At 36.3% G+C, this 21081-nt stretch overlaps 1 protein-coding gene across 4 annotated transcripts in view, besides 1 other annotated feature; it reads right to left on the reverse strand.

Annotated features, from left to right (window-relative positions):
- The window catches only part of SGCZ (sarcoglycan zeta), a 1153587-nt gene that overhangs the window by 1081872 nt on the left and 50634 nt on the right, over positions 1-21081 (reverse strand). The gene's annotated exons all lie outside the window — the stretch shown is intronic.
- Positions 17463-18662: an enhancer, noted in NCBI's record as "CDK7 strongly-dependent group 2 enhancer chr8:15041688-15042887 (GRCh37/hg19 assembly coordinates)". NCBI's record gives its function as "activates an origin of replication core promoter dependent on BRD2, BRD4, P300/CBP, MED14 and CDK7 cofactors, with strong dependence on CDK7, by STARR-seq in HCT116 cells {active_cell/tissue: HCT116}" and the evidence as "EXISTENCE:reporter gene assay evidence [ECO:0000049][PMID:35650434]".

Below are 21081 nucleotides of genomic sequence, written 5' to 3' on the forward strand. Positions count from 1 at the left end.
GTGTTTCTAACTGCAACTACCCTGCACATTTTGCTATTCACAGACAATTGTTGTCTTGTTTTAATCCTCTTCAAGGGTGGTTTATAATGAGTTATAGAACATTAACAGGTGCTCTCAAATACAGCCTTCTGATAACTTTAGAGATTGTAACATTGGAATAAAGGAAAATGTACAGGATTCACAAAGAGCTGAAATGTTCATGAATATCAAGCAAAACTCGAGTTAACTAAATGGACTGAACTCAGGAAGCTGAAGCGAATCTTTTTGACTTTTGTTTAGAAAATTGCTGATTCTTGTTTTGTTTTTTTTTCAGAGTCAAGGAAACTTATTTTTTAACTATTTATGACCTTTAATAATTGAGTAAGGTATACCCCCGTGATCAAAATTTGGAGTATGTTTGTTTCTCTCTGCCTGGTTCCTCTAAAATTTGGAAACTATCTGTGAGTATCCTCGTGGCAATAAGGCTATTTGCATCAGTGCAATAAGAATCCATTTTTCTTTTGCAACAGAACACAATTGGAGAAAGTGATTATTTTACCAAGGCTTTGACTGGATAGGTATGCTTCCCTTTAAGGTGTCAATCTAGACTTGCAGAGCCGAGAAAAGCCTCATGGAGGAAACTGGCCTCACGTCCTCATCTACGTAGTCCCTGTACAGGGTTCTTGACCTGTGGTCAGTAAAGACTGTCACTTTCTAACAGGTCTAGGAGCTCCAAGTTCATCTTGGGACTTAAGAGGAGAGAATTACCCAACTCAGGTGTTTGAGGATGCAAACCCATGGTTGTGCTCAGCTTTAAAAGGTCTTAGCTGAGATTCCTTGTGGAACAGACTTCCATCAAAGCCAAACCAAAAGGCCTCTGCAGAAATAATTATTCTTTCTGCGCTTTATGCAAATAAACAGACCAAGTGTAAGACTAAAGGCTATTTTGCAAACCACTCAGTCCTTTTTATAATTTGGGATGTTTAAAAAAAAATACGGTCTAGAGAGAGGCAAATTATATTTCAAACTTATATATTTGTCATTAAATTCTAAACTCACTAGTTGTCTTAAGTTTTTGCCTATATTTTAGGCTAACCCTGCTTGTTCCTGTGAACCAACCAGCAACCTCTGGCTGTAGATCAGAAAGAACACGAGGGATGGGTAATGTACAAATCCTGATCAATATTCTAGTTCTGACCAATGATCCTGCAAATCCTGCCAGGTCATGGGAATAAATAGGGTGCCCATCACTTGGCGGTTTCTTTTTGGGAAAGTAAGACCAAGGGAGCTAACCAAAGCCAAGCACAATAACACCCAAATCTTTGCAGCATAACTATAGCCACCAGCTATCTGGGTATGTCACAAGACATCCTTTCCTCTCTCTTGTTGGAGGAGGACTCAATTTCACAATTTCACCTTAGCATTTGGCTTATGTTAAGGAATCCATGCGACACCCCCACCTCCCAAGATACATTTTTGTCCAAGCCTCAATTCCAAGCTTCAGGTCAGAGCCCTAGGAAGGAAAACTGGGTCTAAGGGATTCAGAGGCAGATGACAACAGAGCTTAAAAGGCACAGCGCAGGTGAGCGTGGCTGATTCCTGACGATTAAGCCAACCCCAGGCTTCCTGTTTCATGGGTAAAGACCAAATTACTGTCCATGGCATAAACGAGGTCTAGGAACGCAGAGGCTACTGACGGTAGGAAAGAGATATAGGTGAGAGCAGATAATTCCCTATTCGAGCAGAGAATTCCCTATTCTCTAGCTCCCCCCACAACCCAACCCTTGCTTCATGGGCGTGAGCTGCTTTGGTACTCATGGCAGTACCTGCCAAGGTCGCTGGAACTCGGGGATGCAAGGATGGAAGACGGAGAGAAGACGCTCTTCCCTGTCTCCATCACTTACCCCCGGTATCTGCTAGGAAGAGAAGGGAACCAGGGACACCTGTTCCCCTCTTTCTAGATGGGTAGCCATTCATCTTCAGTCTGTACCCATTTCGAATGCATCCTGAACCCCTGGGACTCCTTTGAAAAGTGCTTTCTTTTTCTTTTCTCCTCCTCTGTCCTTTCTTCAGTTAGGCAATTGTGTCTCCATATGACGGGACCCTCCCCTCAGATGCATCCTCCAAACTGGGAAGAGTTAATTTCCCAAACCTTAAACTAGTTGGTTTAGGATTGGGCTTGGGGGAAGGGAACCCAGAAGCTCAGCATGCTGGCAAAAGGCTGAAGTTTTTTTGTCATTCAGGCTTTTAGCCTCCCACTCCTGTGTAAACTGGTAAAAGGCCTGGGAATTTATGAGCTGTCTTTACCCCTTGCCTTGTTTTGTTTTGATACATGTTTTCTAATAATCTGGTTTGTCTGTCTTTGCCTTCAGGCCATCAAACTCTAGTCATGCAACCATAGCCTCTAACAATGGCCCCTGCTGGGAACCCTTAAATAGGCCTCTAAGGAAGCTCTGACTGCCGCTTCCCCCAAAACAGCGCCCCCTGTCAGCAAGAAGCAGTTAAGATTGGTCTTCGCCCTTATCCCTAATCTAAGGGCAGTTAGATGTACTTCTTTAAAGGGGGAAATGAGACAGCCAGGGAGGAGGGTGTCCTCAGAGAAACTCCAACAGCCTGCCCACTGAGGTGGGGACTTGGAAAGTTCAGGACGTTTGCAGGGGGAGGAGCCTGCCTCTTCCTGTGTGGAATCAGGGATTCCAATAGCGGGTAGGAAACTCTCTAGCAGGGACTCCAGTCAAACGAGAGTCACTGTTTTCCCCTTTTCTTCCTTTTCACCCAATAGAACACTGTCTCACTCACCTTTCAAATTATCTGTGAGCCTGAATTTTCATGGGGTGGAACAAAGAACCCTGTCTTTAGCTGACTAAGGAAAAGTCCTGCAACACTGTAACAGAGTACCCTAGACTAGGCGGCTAATAAACAACAACCATTTATTTCTTAGAATCCTGGAGACTTGAAGTCTGGGATCAGCTTTTCTTGAGGGCTTTCTTTCCAGGTTGCACACTGCTCATTTCCTGTATCTTCACATGGTGAAAAGATGGCAAGGAAGCTCTCCACAATTCCTTTTAGAAAGGTACAAATCCCATCCATAAGGGCTCCATCTCCCAATACCACAAACTAGGGGCTTCTATTTCAATGTTTCCATTCTGGGGGGATGCAAACTCTCAGTCCACTGCACATGGTTTACCATACCTAGGATTTAAGTATCTTAGTTGGCATTAACCTAGAAAAGAGTGAACTACGTAATTTCATCATAGATATTTGTTTCCAGTCGAAAATACTGCAGCCAAGTATTTAAATCTTTGTGGCCAGGAAAAAGGACATCTAAATGACACACTTCAGTTTGGATAACTGAGTGGTTTATCATTCAAAGAACGTTTTAAATGGCAATTGAAAAACTTTCTGTCAATATGATAGATGATCAGTAATTAAATTTTTTTCCATGTGCAGACTGAAGTTATTTTGTCATAAATAATATTATATACCTGCTCTCTGACACACCTTGTCTGTGCCTGCCTGAGATCTAAAGTTTCCTGGCCACCTTGACTTTCATACATGACTTGTCTCTTCCTGCTCAAGGACACATTTGATCTACAGCTTCAATTTCATTTATTCAGTTGGTCACTTACACAACAAACCTCACTGAGCACTTCCTCTTCCCCAAAGATATAAAAAAAAAAGGAAAAAGCACAATTTCCCAGCCTTGAATAAATCACATCTAATAGAAAAATGGATAAATGGACAACTTTCCACCCCTGCTTAGAGACCAGCTTTCCACCTCTCAGAGACCATTCTGTGACCATAACTAAAATTCTTTCTCAGTGCCCCAACTCTAAAGTGCTTTCTTCTTCAACAGACTGGGGAATTTGAAAACCCACTTTAAATGAAAGAGTCCACCAGATCATGTGTCCCTGGAATCCAGGTGACTGGGTTTTGTTTTGTTTTTTTAAACTTTCTATGCACGCTCTTTCAAAAGCAAATAGAAAAGTGTTTTATGCAGAATAGTCGATGTATTTGAACTATGCAGTGTTTTAGTATCTTTGTATATAGTCTTACAAGGGATCCATATTACATTTCTGAGCTCCCTATAGGAATAAAAAACATCAACTAGACTTTTGATATGGACTATATAAAATGAATGAAGAAGTAAGAAATTGTGAAACATCTATGATTCGTTTAATGCAACAAAAGAGGCACAGTTGTGTAATCCAGTGAAATGTTTTGAATAAATAAAAATTACAAAATTTAGATGATTTGGTAGCTGTGTGTATTCTAACATTCTAAGTATTAAATTGATTATTCAGATAATATTTAGACTAACAAACAAATTATGAGGCTATCTGCAATATAAATAATGAAGAACAATAATTTAAAACAACAGAAACAATTTTACCTAGACAAAAGATAACAAGAAAGACTTAAATGCTTCCTGTTGGAGCTGACTTTCTAGACATAGATATAATCTGCTACCTACTCTTAATTGAAAAAAGATAAAGTAGTCTTTGAGTTAGTTCATTTTCCTGAATTATAATCATCATCGAAGTATATTTTAAAAGCTTAAAGTTGAAAGAGATTGTGCAGGGTAAAAGAATCCAGTCCCAATTCCCAGCAGAGTTACTCAACCCTAGAAAAAAGTGTCTCATGCTTGAGTAGCTGGAAACAGATCTAGAAACATAAATACCCTTTTCCATATAAAGTGTTTTATTGCATTTTATTTAATTTTATCAGGCACAGGAAATAATATGTTGCTCCCTGTGCAATGATGGAAGCACCCACTGAAAGGACACCAGCCCTTCAGAGTCCCTGTGCTCTGAAAATCACTCAAAGTCTAAAAGCTACTTCTCTTTTTAGCTGGAGATCCAACTGGGTATTATGTAGAAATTCAATTAAGTTCAGATTTCTCTGCAGCCATAAAGTTTATTCCTATGAATTAGAAGTTCTTCTGATTTCACTTTGGATAATTTTTGCCTCTTAATCTTATTAGCATGTGAGCCCTTGATCCTCTTCCTTTTTGAATAAAGTGGATATCAAGCCTGTTGTAGATGATTTGCATGCAATCTCAGATGTGGTATGTGTCGAATAGTACATCTCGGTCTCACCTGTAGGGACACCTAGTAAAACCTTCTCTCAATTCCATCTAAAATCATGAGCAACTGCATATTCATTGCCAAACGAGCTGTCTTCACCTAAATGGCTTGTAACCTATATTCAGAGGTCACTGACAGCCAAGTCAATTGAACAGAGTGCCTTCTCACTCCATTGAAAGGTAACAGGAGCCCTTGATCCCTTCAACATTATTTGTGCCAGCAAAGAGAACTAATAACTTGAAAACAGAGATTTCTATGTGAAAAATGCCAATTTCTACACAAAACAAATAACAAAAGCCCGTTAAGCAAAATAGAACTATTCAACATTATATTTTACTTAGTTTAAAGGAAAAAAATGCCTTTTATACTCTGTTTTTTTTTTTTTTTTTTTTTTTTTGAGACGGAGTTTCGCTCTGTCGCCCAGGCTGGAGCGCAGTGGCGCGATCTCGACTCACTGCAAGCTCCGCCTCCCGGGTTCACGCCATTCTCCTGCCTCAGCCTCCCGAGTAGCTGGGACTACAGGCGCGCGCCACCATGCCCGGCTAATTTTTGTATTTTTAGTAGAGACGGGGTTTCACCGTGTCAGCCAGGATGGTCTCGATCTCCTGACCTCGTGATCTGCCCGTCTCGGCCTCCCAAAGTGCTGGGTCTATTTTTTATAAAATAGAAATCAAATGTTTTATGTAATGACTAGTGAAAAAGAAAACACCCACTAGAGAGTAGGAGTCAGGAAACTAAGCAAACCATTTAACCATTCTAAGTCTCAGAATATTTATAAAAAATTAAAATCTAAAGTTTTTCCTTCAATTTACATGGTCAACTTCATTTGTATTAACGAAATACCAAAGAAACTCTTGTCAAATATCAAAAGGAGTGACTTCCTAACCAATACACTTGGTCTTGGAGTCTATTAAAAAATCTTCCTGGGATAGAATTTTACCTTTATCAACATGCGTAGAAACATTTTCATAATGCGCTTTACTGCTTCAGACATTTGGCAAAAGTAGATACTTTAAAAAATTATGCAATACCACAAACAAGATTTTACCTGAATTCTTCATAGCAATATATAAATGGGTTGTTCTATTGATGTATAAAGATGTATATACAAAGAGGAAAATAAAAACTTAATATGGAAAACGTATTAATACTAGTTAAATCCAAAGAAGTCATTACGAGATTTCATTTTAAATTGACTATTCTGAACTTTTTTGGATAACAATGTTGTGATAATTCACTAATTATAACATTCAAACATATAAGTCCTCGACTTTTAAATTCTCACTGTAGTCTAAGGGGTTGTGTGCAGACTTAAGAAAAAGGCAGTAAATCCAGTATTGAAAAGCCCAGGCTTGCCACTGTAAGCCTGACTTACTATTTGTGTGACCTTTAGCAATTTTTTAAAATGTATTGTAATAAAAAACATATAACATGGAATTTACCATCTTAGCCATTTTAAAGTGTACAGTAGAGTAATTTTAAAAATATTCACATTATTGTGAAACAGATCTCCAGGAATTTTTCATCGTGCAATTTTGAAACACTGTACCCACTGGAGCAACGTTTAACTTATTTAAGTCTCAGTTTTCTCATCTATAAAAATGGATGATGATAGCACCATTTATGACTAAATGAGACAGTTTCTATAAAGCCTATAACATAATACCTGGCACATATCTAGGGCTCACTGAATGTAGAGAATTATTACATGAGTGTCTTTAATTGCATATTAAATGGAGGAGTGCCTTGTATATTATAATATGTAGTATGATTTCACAAAATATGTGTAAATTAAAGCTTTTAAGATGCATTTTTAAAAGCTCATTTTATGTGGTATTCTTGAAGATTCATTTTAAAATGATTCTTGGTAAGACACAGAACATTCCCTAATGTCTATGTCTTGTAAAGTTGGAATGGTCATCAGGCAGTTTTTAATTGGCATTTTCTCAGACTCAAGTTCTTCGTTAGCAGATTCATTCATTTATTTAGAGACACCACCCAGGCTGAAATGCAGTGGTGTGATCATGGCTCACTGCAGCTTTGACCTCTAGGGCTCAAGTGATCCTCCTGCCTCAGTTGGGAGCATAGGCATGCACCACCACACCTGGCTAATTTTTTTATTTTTAATAGAGGCAAAGTCTCACTACATTACTGGTCGCAAACTCCTGGGCTCAAGCAATCCTTCCACTTCAGCCTCCCAACGTACTGGGATTACAGGTGTGAGCCACTGCACCCGTTATACTTTATTTAAACATTCTTTTTAGTGTGCACTTCAGTTAAGGGCCGTCATTGATCATGCTGCATATTATACCAACAGATCTATTTTAATGGATGTTAATAGTTCAAAACATCATGGGAATGCCTTCACAGTCACAAGTGAGTAAAACATTGTCCTAATCCTCAAGGATTTAAATAGGACTAGCGAAACTCACCAGCAACTAAACTGTTACATCATGTAGGGTAGGTGATGTAAAAGATCAAATAGTTTTTTCATTGTGTAAATATATTACAGCTTATGTACCAATTATTCTGTCAATTGACTTCAGTGTTTGGGTTGTTTCCATGTTTTTGCTGTTGCAAACAGAGCTGCTAAAAACATTGTATATAACCCCAGAGGCAAAACAAAGATAAAACAGAACCCCAGAACTTGCTTCATTATTGATCTTTTATTGACAGAGAGCAAAAAAACTAAGCAGCTGTGGTAAGCTTGACGAAAATACAAAAGTATACTTTATGTAATATAAATATACCTATAAAAACAAAGACACATAAGAATTTCTCTCAGAATTTTTGAGTTGAAGTCAATGTTTAACTTTACAAGATGGTATCAAATTATTTTCCCAAGCGATTGTACCATTTTACAACCCTTCCCTAACATTAATAGTGTATAAACGATCCAATTTATCCACATGCCTTCCAACACTCGGTTCAGACAGAATTCTTAATTGTTGCCAGTGTAATAGTATGGAACTGTATCTCATCACAATCTCCATGTGCATTTCCTTGACTAGCGACTTATTACTTTTTTAAACATTAAAATTATTGGCTATTACTAAAAACATAACACATGCTGGTAAGGTTGTGGAGTCAAAGTAATGCTTACACACTGTTGGGAGGAGTGTAAATTAATTCAACTGTCATGGAAAACAGTGTGGCGATTCCTCAAATACCTAAAATCAGGGAAGGGAGAGCATTAGGACAAACACCTAATGCACGTGGGGCTTAAAACCTAGATGACAACTTGACAGGTGCAGCAAACCACCATACCACATGTATACCAATGTAACAAACCTGCACATTCTGCACGTGTATCCCAGAACTTAAAGTAAACTAAAAATTAAAAATAAATTTAAAAAGGAAGAAAGAAATTCCACTTGACCGAGCAATCCTATTACTGGGCATAAACACAAAGGAATGTAAATCATTCTATTGTAAAGACACATGCATGCTTGTGTTCACTGCAGCACTATTCACAATAGCAAAAACATGGAATCAACCCAAAAGCCCATCAATGACAGACTGGATAAAGAAAATGTGATACCTGTACGCCATAGATTACTATGCAGCCATAAAAAAAAAAGAATAAGATCATGTCCTTTGCAGGGACATGGATGGAGCTGGAGGCCATTATCCGTACCAAGCTAACACAGGAATAGAAAATCAGATACTGGATGATCTCACTTATAAGTGGGAGCTAAATGATGAGAACACATAGACACATAGAGTGGAGCTACACACACTGGGGCCTGTTGGAGGATGGAGGGTAGGAGGAAGGAGAGCATCAGGAACAGCAACTAATGAATACAAGGCTTAATACCTGGATGTTGAAATAATCTGTATAACAAACCCCCGTGACACACATTTACTCATGTAACAAACCTGCACATCCTGCACATGTACCCCTAAACCTAAACATAAACATAAAATAAAAATTGAAATTCTGGAACTTCTAAAAAAAATTTAGATGCAACTTCAAGATATAGATAGTCAATTAAATAAAGGTTGAAACACAGGCAGAATTTAGGTAAATGGGGAAAGAAAATGACTTCTAGGAGAGGAAGATTGCAAAACCAAAGGAAAAGAGTTAACAAGGAGAAGACTCATGTTAGGAACAGAAAGCAGTCAAGATTGCTAGGAAGATGGGCTAAATTCAGGGTAAAAATGGAAACGTTGTTTGCAGCTTTCAGACAGCATTAAACACCAGGATGAAGAGTTTATACTTACTGTATTATACTACTTATATAAACCTGAAAGCAATTTAAGTGAAAAAATGGAAGAAATTCTCAAAGTGTTAAGTTTAACATTTTCAAAATACCCACATTATAAGTAATATTTGCATTATCTAATTAGGTGACAGTTCTTACACACCAAACTCAAAGCTCAGTTAAATAGGTTTGGTCATTTAAAGCTGAGAGGCTTTAATCTTACTCACCTTCTAGTCTGTACCATGAAAGTTACTGTCTAGGGAAGTGTTAACGGAATCCTCAGTCATGGGTTATCTGTTCCTTTAGCCATAGGATTTTATTATATTTCTTTTTTTAATGAACATGTTACATGTTATGTTTTCAATTTTAGAAACAATTTCTCATTCAATAGAAGATAGTGCATGTCTATAAATACTTGGCATTTGACGGCAAATAGTCTAATTGAAAGGTTTTAAAGACTTTCTATGTTTAGAAAGCATAATACTGTATGTGAATATACCAAGCGGTTTTCCAAAAATTAACTTTTAAACATATCAGCTTTATGCTTAAAGAGCCATGGAAATTTGAAAGTAATATTTCATAGAAGAATTATTTTATGATCAAACTCACCTTACTGAACAATTTAAATCCAATAATTGAAAATATATACTTAGAAAAATTAACAAATACAGAACAGTTTTCTCCTAATAATTTCCTCAGATAGTCAAACCTTATCAAAAGAAACTATATGTTGGCCGGACACAGTGGCTCACGCCTGTAATCCCAGCACTTTGGGAGGCCGAGGTGGGCGGATCACAAGGTCAGGAGATCGAGACCATCCTGGCTAACAGGGTGAAACCCCATCTCTACTAAAAACACACAAAATTAGCCAGGCGTGGTGGCAGGCGCCTGTAGTCCCAGCTACTCAGGAGGCTGAGGCAGGACAATGGCGTGAACCCAGGAGGCAGAGCTTGCAGTGAGTAGAGATCACGCCACTGCACTCCAGCCTGGGCAACAGAGCGAGACTTTGTTTCAAAAAAAAGAAAAAGAAAAAGAAAGAAAGACACTATATGAAAACTATATGTTAACACTTTTTTAATGTGTGAGCATTATTCTAGGGAAGAAATTGTAGATAATTTATTTTCCTTTCCAGGGAGAGCAAATTCAAAGTTCTTGAAAAACATTAAATAAAATATCAGCCATAGTTGAAATCAAATGAAAAGACAGAATAGCGAACATGCCTCCAGAATCAAGAGAACACAATATGACAAATAAAGGGCATTTAGATGTTCCTCAGATGGTCGAAATTATGCCAAGAGACAGTAGGCAGTGGAACGTCCCACCTACAGCAGCTGATGGATAACGAAAGAGGAAACCAGGCAGCTGGTGGGCTAAAATATGTTGTAAAATAAGGAGCTGAGGCCTTACCTCAATGGATATGGCATGGCCAAGTATTCAGCAATTTTCCAGAATTAGTGCTATTCTATCTGTAAATGTTGACAACATCAACTATTTGATTTTAAAGATTATACATTTAATCTTACAATGGGAGGCATTGTAAATGATCATTTTTTAAAAAGAAAGAAAATAGAAGAAATTTGCAAAATGTTGATAGGCCCATAGACTGATTCATTGATAAAAAGGAACTGATGGAACAGTAAGGTCAATATTCAAAGCAAGATAAAGATCTAAAATGTATAATGGGCAATCTGTAGTGATCTAAATTTAAGTTAAGGTCTAACAGAATGTATCACTTTGTTTTATGGCTTAAAATGAGATGAGGCATCTTCACTTGTAAGCAATCAGCCTGTCTTGGTTATTCTCTGAGACACCCTGAACCAGTATACGTGGACCTTTCATGGGCGCCTCTGTCCAGCTTCCAGTCTAGACACTTGGGGAAGCTATGAACTCCCTACTCCAGCCTAAAGTTCAGCCTCCTGATATACCCAGAACAGCCATTGCCCTGTAGGCCTCACCACTTCCTATAAAGAGAATACAACAGAATAATTTCTATTTACCACTCACCACTTCCTATGACCTCTACCTGTAAGCCCCATGCTTGGGGCCTAGCCTTGCAATTTGCTCCATGTAAACATTCCACTCTGAATTCCCTGCCATTTCCCCAGGACACTGCCTCCTGAGCCTGGAGGAATCACTCTTCCTGCCTTGGAATTTCTCTAAAGCACTTTCCTTCTCAACCGCACCCCTACAACACCCTCCACAACCATTTCTTTTTTTGTTTTTTTCTTTGAGAATTTTTTTTTTACTAATCAATAAAATCCCTTTGATGATAATGCAAGAGCATTACATTTTTCTATAAATTTTGTTTTACCAATCACCTAAATATTACAGCATTTTACAATGTCTAAAAGACATTGTAGCGCAGAGATCTGAGTTCAAAACCAAATTCTCCCATTTAATTTCTCTAAGCCTCAATTACCCCATGTAGCGAATGGGACTCATGTCTATATTAAGAGGACATATTTTCAAATACATAGTAAAATGCTCAGAGCATGGTAATAACACAATAAATTAGATAAGCTGACTTTCTAGAAACTACCTGTGCCCCTTATTCTTTGTTTATTGTATAATAATACATTGTTGCTAACTCAGATGCAATGTTATACAGCAAACCTCTTGAACTTATTCATCTTGCTCAGCTGGAACACTGTACCCATTGATTGCCAGTTCCCCATCTTCCTTTTAACATATTGGAGCTATAATCAAAGACAGAAAAGGCCATGGACTTCAGACAACCTCTGCATTCTATATAATAGCCCAAATCACACAGGGAATAATTACGAAGACTGAGCAAAGTTACGAAGTGCAGGGAAGGAAAAAAACTAGACGAAGGCAAACAAGTTCTCCACAAACTGTATTTTACCCTAGGATATAAAGAAAACTCTATGTCCAATAAATGCTACTTATTTTCAATCAAGAGATAGCATATTGGTTCTAAACATAGTGAAGTCAACTTAGAAAATATGATAAACAATTTTAGATATTGTCTTGGCATTTGGACACATTATGAGACTTTCCTCAAGCTGTTACTCTCATGTAGTAGACTAAAAAACTACGTATTATATCCATGGACATAAAAGTATAAAGAGTTGTTTTGCTGGGAACAAACCTTCAGGAAAAAAGAAATAAGACTAAAATAGTAAATTTTAATAGTCTAGAGATATCAATTAAATAATAATTAACCTGTTTAAGTAAAGATTCTTATTAATTGATGAAGATCAAATAATAAAATAATGAAAGTTAATCTCAGTAGATTTTTCTTCAGATAGAGGGAATGAGGATGGTGTATATGAATAGTGAATTATCTCTTCATTAGACTTCTTTTCCTTAGCTTGTTCTCTTTAGCTGAAAATAACAAAGTTAAAGAAAAAACTGAGAATACAGATTTTGTATTTTCTGGAATTATTTCACAGAACTTTACAGTTTTGACATAAAACTACGTAAGATGTATCATCAACAACCACTGAAAGTAGGCATTAAAGGGTTTTCATGATCTCAAGATGTTCTGATAATTACAAACCAGGAAACCAAAAATAACAAGTAATTTTCGTTGTTTCAGTAATGTGAATAGTTTACAATTCATGCTGGGAAATGCATTATTTCACATTATAAATGGCACAAAGCATGGTACACAGTCATCAGTTTTGGAAATAATTTATGACTGAAAAAGAAAATGAGTACTGTTTTGGTATAACCCTGCAACAACAACAACAAAAAAGGACAGCCTCCTCAAAAAAGTAATTCTGCCAATTTAATCAGAGGAGAATTAACAAGACATTAGGAAATAGAGGCAAAATAAAAACGGGTTTGGAAGGCACGTAACCTGATCATTAGCAGAAGTAAAGGTACTTTTCTCAAACAGAATAACAAAGTAGGAAGAAGATATAAGCTAAACTGTACCACACAACAACCTGCAAGGAACTACTTTGTGTAGGATTATGCCGGCCAGTCATCAAATGTGCCAACTCCCACCTGGCATTGAAATTTAGGTCAAAATGTCCTGTTTAGTAGGCTGACTATTATATGCACATTTTTACTATGTGTTATAAAAAAAATTAAAAGTGATTACAGAAGGTTGCTTTTCTAGATTCCTCTTATCGTTCCTACATCCATGCAAGTCTTTATAGAAATCAAGGAAAACCACCCTAGTCATGATAACAAGGAAAAACTATCACCCTCTCATCCCGCAAAACTAATATCATGATGTCACTACAAACAGGGAAATAATCCACACATGTTCTCCCCAGTTTATCTGAGTGCTTCAAATGTGTAGAAAGTTCTTTTCTACATAGACAGATGAATAAATACTGTCTTTTCCACTGGCTATATAAAAGCCATTGTGTAAAGCTACTGAAGACACTTTAACATGTTGGTATATTGATTTGATAGTCCCTTTACAAAATATTACTTGCCATATTACATATTTTAGGGCTCAGTAACATGTCCTAAAAGGAAGACTTAGTCTGGAAATTATTCTACATCTGCTCTTTTATTGCTTTGTTTTTTTGTAAATGCTCTCTTTGATCAAAAACAATACTCATTCTAATCTACATATGAAGGGGTCACAAATTTAGCACTGATACAAAGAACAAGTTAAAAAAAAAAACAGAGGGAAAGGCTGGGCATGGTGACTCACGCCTGTAATCCCAGCACTTTGGGAGGCCAAGGCAGGCGGATCATGAGGTCAAGAGTTCAAGACCATCCTGGCTAACATGTTGAAATTCCATCTCTATTAAAAATACAAACAAAATTAGCCGGGCATGGTGGTGGGCGCCTGTAGCCCCAGCTACTCAGGAGGCTGAGGCAGGAGAATGGCATGAACCCAGGAGGCAGAGTTTGCAGTGAGCCGAGATCATGCCACTGCACTCCAGCCTGGGCAACAGAGCGAGACTCCATCTCAAAAAAAAAAAAGAGAGGGAAAAAGACAGGATACCAGCACATAAACTGTATTTCATGGCAAACTAGAACAACAAAGGATAAAAAATAGATATGCCCAAATGAAGGTAAATTTACATTCATACACATACAAACTATTGCCATCTTTCAATTAGCAATGTTAATTGATTCCTGAAAATCTTGCCACTCAATAAAAAGCCATTAAAAGAAAAAAGAAATCCAAGAACTTTTAATGAGAAAAAATTACACTGTGTTTTATTTCAATACAAAATGCCCAAACAATTTTTACAGGAAAAATGTTTATTAAATAAAGAAAACAAGTTATGTAAGTGAAAATATTAACTTGAAAATAGTTTTTTATACAAATTAGAATAAAGATTTATTCTTTTTACTTTCTGCACCTCGCTCTTCACCTTTTTTTCTACTTAAGAGTTTATAATTATATTTGAATTATACTTAAGAATAAAGATATACCACAGAAAAAACACCTAAGGGCTAAAGACCAAATATGACAGAGCCTAGATACCCAAATAAAATAGCATGTGTTCCCATGAAATTGAGAAGTCTTTTCAACGTTTGCTTGGCAAACTAAAATGTTTCAGCTCATACAAACAGTGTGAGATACAAATTTGTTCTGTGTGATGATATTCTCTTACTAGAAACTGTAGTGTCAAGCAAATAAGTGCTTGTGTCTTTGCCTCAAACCATTATGTTGAAATATCAGTTCTTCAGATATACTTAATATATATTGCAGTGAACATTTTGATACGCTAAAAAAAAGTCACCTAAAAAGCAGATAACTTTTCGAAAGTCGCTAGGGCAAGAGGTCACTAACTGAACAGTTGTTATGGGAAGTAAGTACCTACATACATTTGTGTTTCTGTCTGTATAATTCATAACTCCATTAGGTGAATAACAGATAAAAATTTATAAGGTGAAGTGTTATATTTAGATTTAGAGGAAAAAATAACATGAGATTATTTGGGGAGGTGAACTTTTCCTACTCTTCTGATACCTTCTTCTAATGCTTTTAATTTTCAACTTTCAATTTTTGAACCTGTGTTACATCTTATGCAGTGAGAAAAAGTCCTCAAACGATGGTGGGTAAGCCATAGAATGGTGCACTCATCACTGAGTATCCATTCATAGGACAATCCTTGAAAAAATAGAGGAAACCATTTTATTCATTCCGAAATTCATGGAAGAGTAAATATCTTGAAGTAGACTCCTCTATCTAGCAAAATACATTTTTCATCATCACATAAAACTAAATATGTGTACCTGATATTTCACAAATGTTTTTCCAGATGCCAATAATATCCTTAATTCTTAGGTTAACTGACCAAAAAATACAACAAACCTAGATTATCAAACTATAATTCACTAAAATATAGATTAGCATTATACTAAATATAATGCAGTCATGTGCCCCTTAACAATGGGCATACGTTCCTGAAAAAGCATCATTACCGATTTTTTCATTGTGAAAACAACATAGGGTATACTTAAGCACACACCTAGATAATAGATCCTACTACATACCAAAGAATAAATGGTACAGCCTATTACTCCTAGGCTACAAACATGTTTAGCATGTTACTACACTGAATACCAGAGGCAACTTTAACTAAATGGTAGGTATTTGTGTATCTAAACATAAAAAGGTACAGTAAAAATACAGCATAAAAGATTTTTTTAAGTGGCACACCTGTATAGGACCCTTACCATGAATGGAGCTTGCAAGATTAGAAGTTGCCCTGGGTGAGTCTCAGTGAGTGGTGAGTGAATGTTGAATCCTAGGACATTACTATATACCACCGTAGACTTTATAAACTAACTGTACACTTAAAGTACACAAAATTTATTTTAAAAATTGTTTTATCTTCAAAATAAATCTCAGGTTACTGAAACTTTTTTACTTTATCAAGGTTATAATTTTTTAAACTTTTCGGCTGTTGTAATAACAGCTTAAAACACAAACACATTGTACGGCTATACAAAAATATTTTCTTTCTTTATATCTTTAAGCTTTTAAAATTTTCAATATTAATTTTACCTTTTTAAACTTTTTTGTGAAAAACAAAGACACACACACATTGGCTTAGGCCTACACAGGATCAGGGTTATCAACATCACTGTCATTCATCCCCCGCATCTTGTCCCACTGGAAACCCTTCAGGGGCAGTAACAGGCATGGAGCTGTCATCTCCTAGGATAACAATGCCTTCTTCTGAAATACCTCCTGAAGGACCTGCCTTAGGCTGTTTTACAGTTAACTTTTTTTATAAGTAGAAAGATTACACTCTAAAGTATGCATCAATAGTATAGTAAATACATAAACCAGTAACATAGTCATTTATTATCAAGTATTATATACTGTACATAATTTTCTATGCTAGGCTGTCATACAGCTGGCAACACAGTAGCTTTGTTTACACCAGCATTACTACAAACACATGAGAAATGTATTGTAATACTTCATTTTGATGGCAAGGACATCACCAGATATTAGAATTTTTCAGGTCCATTATAAGTTTATGGTATCACCATGGTATATGTGGTCCATCATTAACCAAAACTTCACTCTATGGCACTTGACTGCATAATACACTGTACCTTTGATAACTCAGAGATGTCATGTGATCTTATATTGTCTCTGCATCATTTTGTGTGTTACTGATTAGAGGGCTTTAATTTAGATGTGAAAGTTTCAGGGGATTGGGTTAAAGCCAAAATGATCCTATGACATATTCTTTATGTTGCCATTTGGGGAAGAAAAATCACTAATATCTTCTTGTTTACTTGCCATCTATGTTACTTATGAAAATATACCGGGATAGCTTTCCCAACTATTTATAATTGCTAGAGATTTTGATTCTAAATAAAAGATAGCTAGCATTACTGGGCATTATGGTAATGCTTAGTTACAACTTATGATCTGTTCTCACAAAATCTCACAGTTCACAAAAATTAACTTTACTAGCTAGCATTTATTACTTCAAAATATTTTAAGGGATCAAGTGTAATTACTACATACTGCACAGAGTAATAAAGGTCTGTGTAAAGCAAAGAGAAGGAAGAATTATTGTAAGAAAGAATGATGTACAAACTACTTAGATACTGAAAGGTAGAGTGGAAAAGCAGTTAACTACTTTTATAGTGCTGAAATAATATATTTTTTATTTATTTTCCGTTTCAACAGCACATTCCAATTACACATTTTCTGTAACTTCTGCAACAATTATGTTTAAAACATTTAATTCTCCTTAATATGCTTGCTCATAAAAATGAATTGTAATTATAAATTCTTCATCATATATACTGTCACTAGTAGAACTTCTGGTAGGAAACCAAAATGTATTTCATAATAATTACCTTATGCTTTTAAAATTTTCAATTATATTTAAAACAAACACGGTGCATGTTAGTTGTAGTTAGGACACGAACATGCAAGTATCATAGAATCAAACTCACACCGATTTGAAAAACTGAAACAGCTGCATCTCTATATCCCCAAAATAGAAAAGGCTGCCTAATTTAAAAAATGCTTCCTTCTGTGGCAAATCTGAGAAGTTGTATCGGGCATGAGTTTCCAGTTACTCTTCACCTCTCATGCATTTTCTCCTTTTTTTTTTCTTTTGTCCTACACCAGGCCTCGGGAGACTGGTCCCGAAGGATTTCATCACCCTAGATCTCTTGCACTCTGGCCTCACTAGGTTCAGGCAACGGGAGTCCCCAGCAGGAAACTGAGAGGTGAGGGAAGAGAGAGCAGGCGATTTCTTCACACACACCCTTCCTGCTTTGGTGTTCCGGAAGCGGAAGCCACGGGTCGAGTCTAAGATTTTAAATATAACCTATAATTATTAAAGTGTCAGGCTTTGGTAATATCGGGTGATGTTGATTCTTCCTTTTACCTGCAGCCTTGTAATGGCTTCCAACTGTTGCTAATCTCTGTATGCCTCAACAAACATTCATCACGCGTTCCCTTTGTATTCACTTTATTAAATTCCCACCAAAATTCTAGATACACATGCTGTCTGTCTCCTGACTGGCAAATGGAGACTGTAACTGGGGAGTCTCTAGGCAATTAGACTGTAAATGCCCTATTACCTCAAGGCTCTCTTCATCTCCCAGGTTGCTTTTTAGCTCCAGATGCAAATATCACCCTGCTACATACAAGGTGGAAAATGGATCTCAAAATTTTGGAGCAGTATCTGTATAATCATCAGGGCAATTTTAATTGGGAACTAGGTAAACCTCACACACTCTCTGAAGCAAAGTTAGGCATTAAAAGATCAAAGTTAGGAGGAAAAAATAGAGGGAAAGCCAGGGCTTGAAGTCTGTCTTCTGCAGGATACTCCTGAAAATTTCCACTGAAGAATTAACAACAGCAGATTTTTACTAAAGAGCCAAAGCTCTGAGGTTTCACTAGAAATGTATGAGAATTAAAAAATGTGTTGGTTTTTAACATAATTAGTTCCACCAAAATAATTGTAAAAGCTGCTGCATCAGAAAAATATACCGTGTTCACCATGAAGTTTTAAGTACTCACTGAGACACTGCAAGATATCTAGTTTGACTTACATGTATGTTCCTACTTGTTTACTCTTTTTCTATATCTACTCACTTGATATATGAGAAATCTATTTATTGCCTCGATATCTTTATATCTGTCTAGTCATGCATGACTTCTTCAAGAAGGGCAAATGAGAAGAAAACAGAAGAGAAACAGGGCTACCATCTTGGACAGCACAGAATACATCCTCTTCGATCACTGCCCCAAGTTCTGTTGGACCACACTGCTTGAGACATCCTGAAGACTACATGAAGGCATAATTACATACTCAGACAGACTACAGAGTTATTTATGATAAGATGAAGTAATCTAAAGCCTCAAGATCTGCAACTTGGTTAATGATCATTTCTGGCTACTATAACTTTGTATGTAAAATGCATGACTTATGAATATTTTAAACACACTGTATTTTTTAGCTTTTCTTTATGTTAAAGCAAAGTCCAAAATAATACTATTTAAGCAGCATACAAGTTAATTTCTCTCGGCTGGGCGCGGTGGCTCACGTCTGTAATCCCAGCACTTTGGGAGGCCGAGGTGGGCAGATCACGAGGTCAGGAGATGAGACCATCCTGGCTAACACGGTGAAACCCCGTCTTTACTAAAAATAAAAAAAATAAATAAATAAAAAATAAATAAAAAAATAAAAAAAAAACTTAGCCGGGCATGGCGGAGGGCGCCTGTAGTCCCAGCTACTCGGGAGGCTGAGCCAGGAGAATGGCATGAACCCGGGAGGCGGAGCTTGCAGTGAGCAGAGATCGTGCCACTGCACTCCAGCCTGGGCAACAGAGGGAAGATTCCGTACCAAAAAAAAAAAAAAAAAAAAAAAAAAAAAAAAAAAAAAGTTAATTTCTCTCGCATGTAGTAGTCCAAAGAGAAATAGTCTCCAAATATAACGCTGATATAAATACTGGCTCCAGTCGGGTATTAAGTACTTTTCCTTAAACCAGACTTCCACTCATGATCTACTCATAAATGTAAAAACTGTAATCAGTATTTTGCTTACCCAAAATGAAAGGAAGGTAGAATTTTTCAAAGAATGGTGAACACAGTCCTTTCTAAACAAAGATCATCAGCATATATAAAGCATTACCCTTGGAGCTTTGAAATAATATCTATTTGTTGATTCCCATATCATAATTTATCTTCAAAAGATGGCATTAAAATTGCACTCTAACTATGAAACATTCTGTACTTCACAAAGTTGCAGAAGGTGAGCAATCAATAAGTATTTATTGAGTGCATGAAGGGGTGTTTTACTTAATTTGAAAACTAGCTGATTTCAATCAGAAATAACAATTATATAAGACTTTCGCCTATAATTAGTGAGACAAAGAAGTCTACAACATTGATTTTGCCCAAAGTATTAACTGTGAACGCTTGTTTTTCAGCTAGTGGGTTTTTAAGCATTTAAGCAGATCTTATTGGCTTTATTGACTAGTATTCAACAGCAATGCCTCTGAATGCGTTTTTATATGAGATAATCACTTTTTTCATGATATAATGTCAGTTGAGAGGAGACCTTTCTATTTGTTATAGTAGAAATCACCCTAACTCATATAAAGCATTACGTCCAATGATTTCCAGAAAGTCGCATAAATCAGCCAACAAGAAGTTTTAAATTAACTTTAAAGAAGAAGGCAATTTTGTTTATTTAGCTCTACTAGCTGATTCTTGAATTAAGCCCAAGTATTCTTCATTATTTATTTAAGTAAATAAAGCCACTTATGGTAATTGTACAATATTTCCTTTCAGCTCTATTCTCCCAACATTATATTCCAAATCAACTCCATATTTATATTTAAGGCAATGCTTCTAACACAAAATGGTTATATAATTCAAACGAAGAAACTCATGAATTTGCTTTAAGAATTGGTGCTTTTCCATCTTATTTCCCACAAATTAGAATACATGTGCATGTAATGTGCATTTTACAAGAGGAGAGACATTTTTTAGAACAGGATAGTTTTAGAAAAGGAGAAAATAATCTCCAGACAAATGGTTATAATACGAAATTAAATTTGATGTGATTTTAGGATATCTCATTTTTAGTAAAGTTTATCTCTTTTACTGCATGAGTTAATTTATTGTAAATAGTATTTATGACAGTGCTTCATAGTGAGGAAATAGACTCAAAATCACATAAAGAACTTTTTATTATAATAATAACTTTTAGGCACATTTCTCCTTCTCACTAGCTTTGTCCCCACAAAATCAAAACCCATAACTTATTAACTTAAAAAATTATTTCTATTTCTAAATATCAAGATAACTATAGCCATAAGGTTTTTTAAAAAATAAGCTCTTCGTGAGTTTGATTATGGACTATTATAAAGGATTT

This window comes from Homo sapiens, chromosome 8 (genome assembly GCF_000001405.40).
Source record: "Homo sapiens chromosome 8, GRCh38.p14 Primary Assembly".
In the NCBI taxonomy this organism is placed as follows: domain Eukaryota; kingdom Metazoa; phylum Chordata; class Mammalia; order Primates; family Hominidae; genus Homo; species Homo sapiens.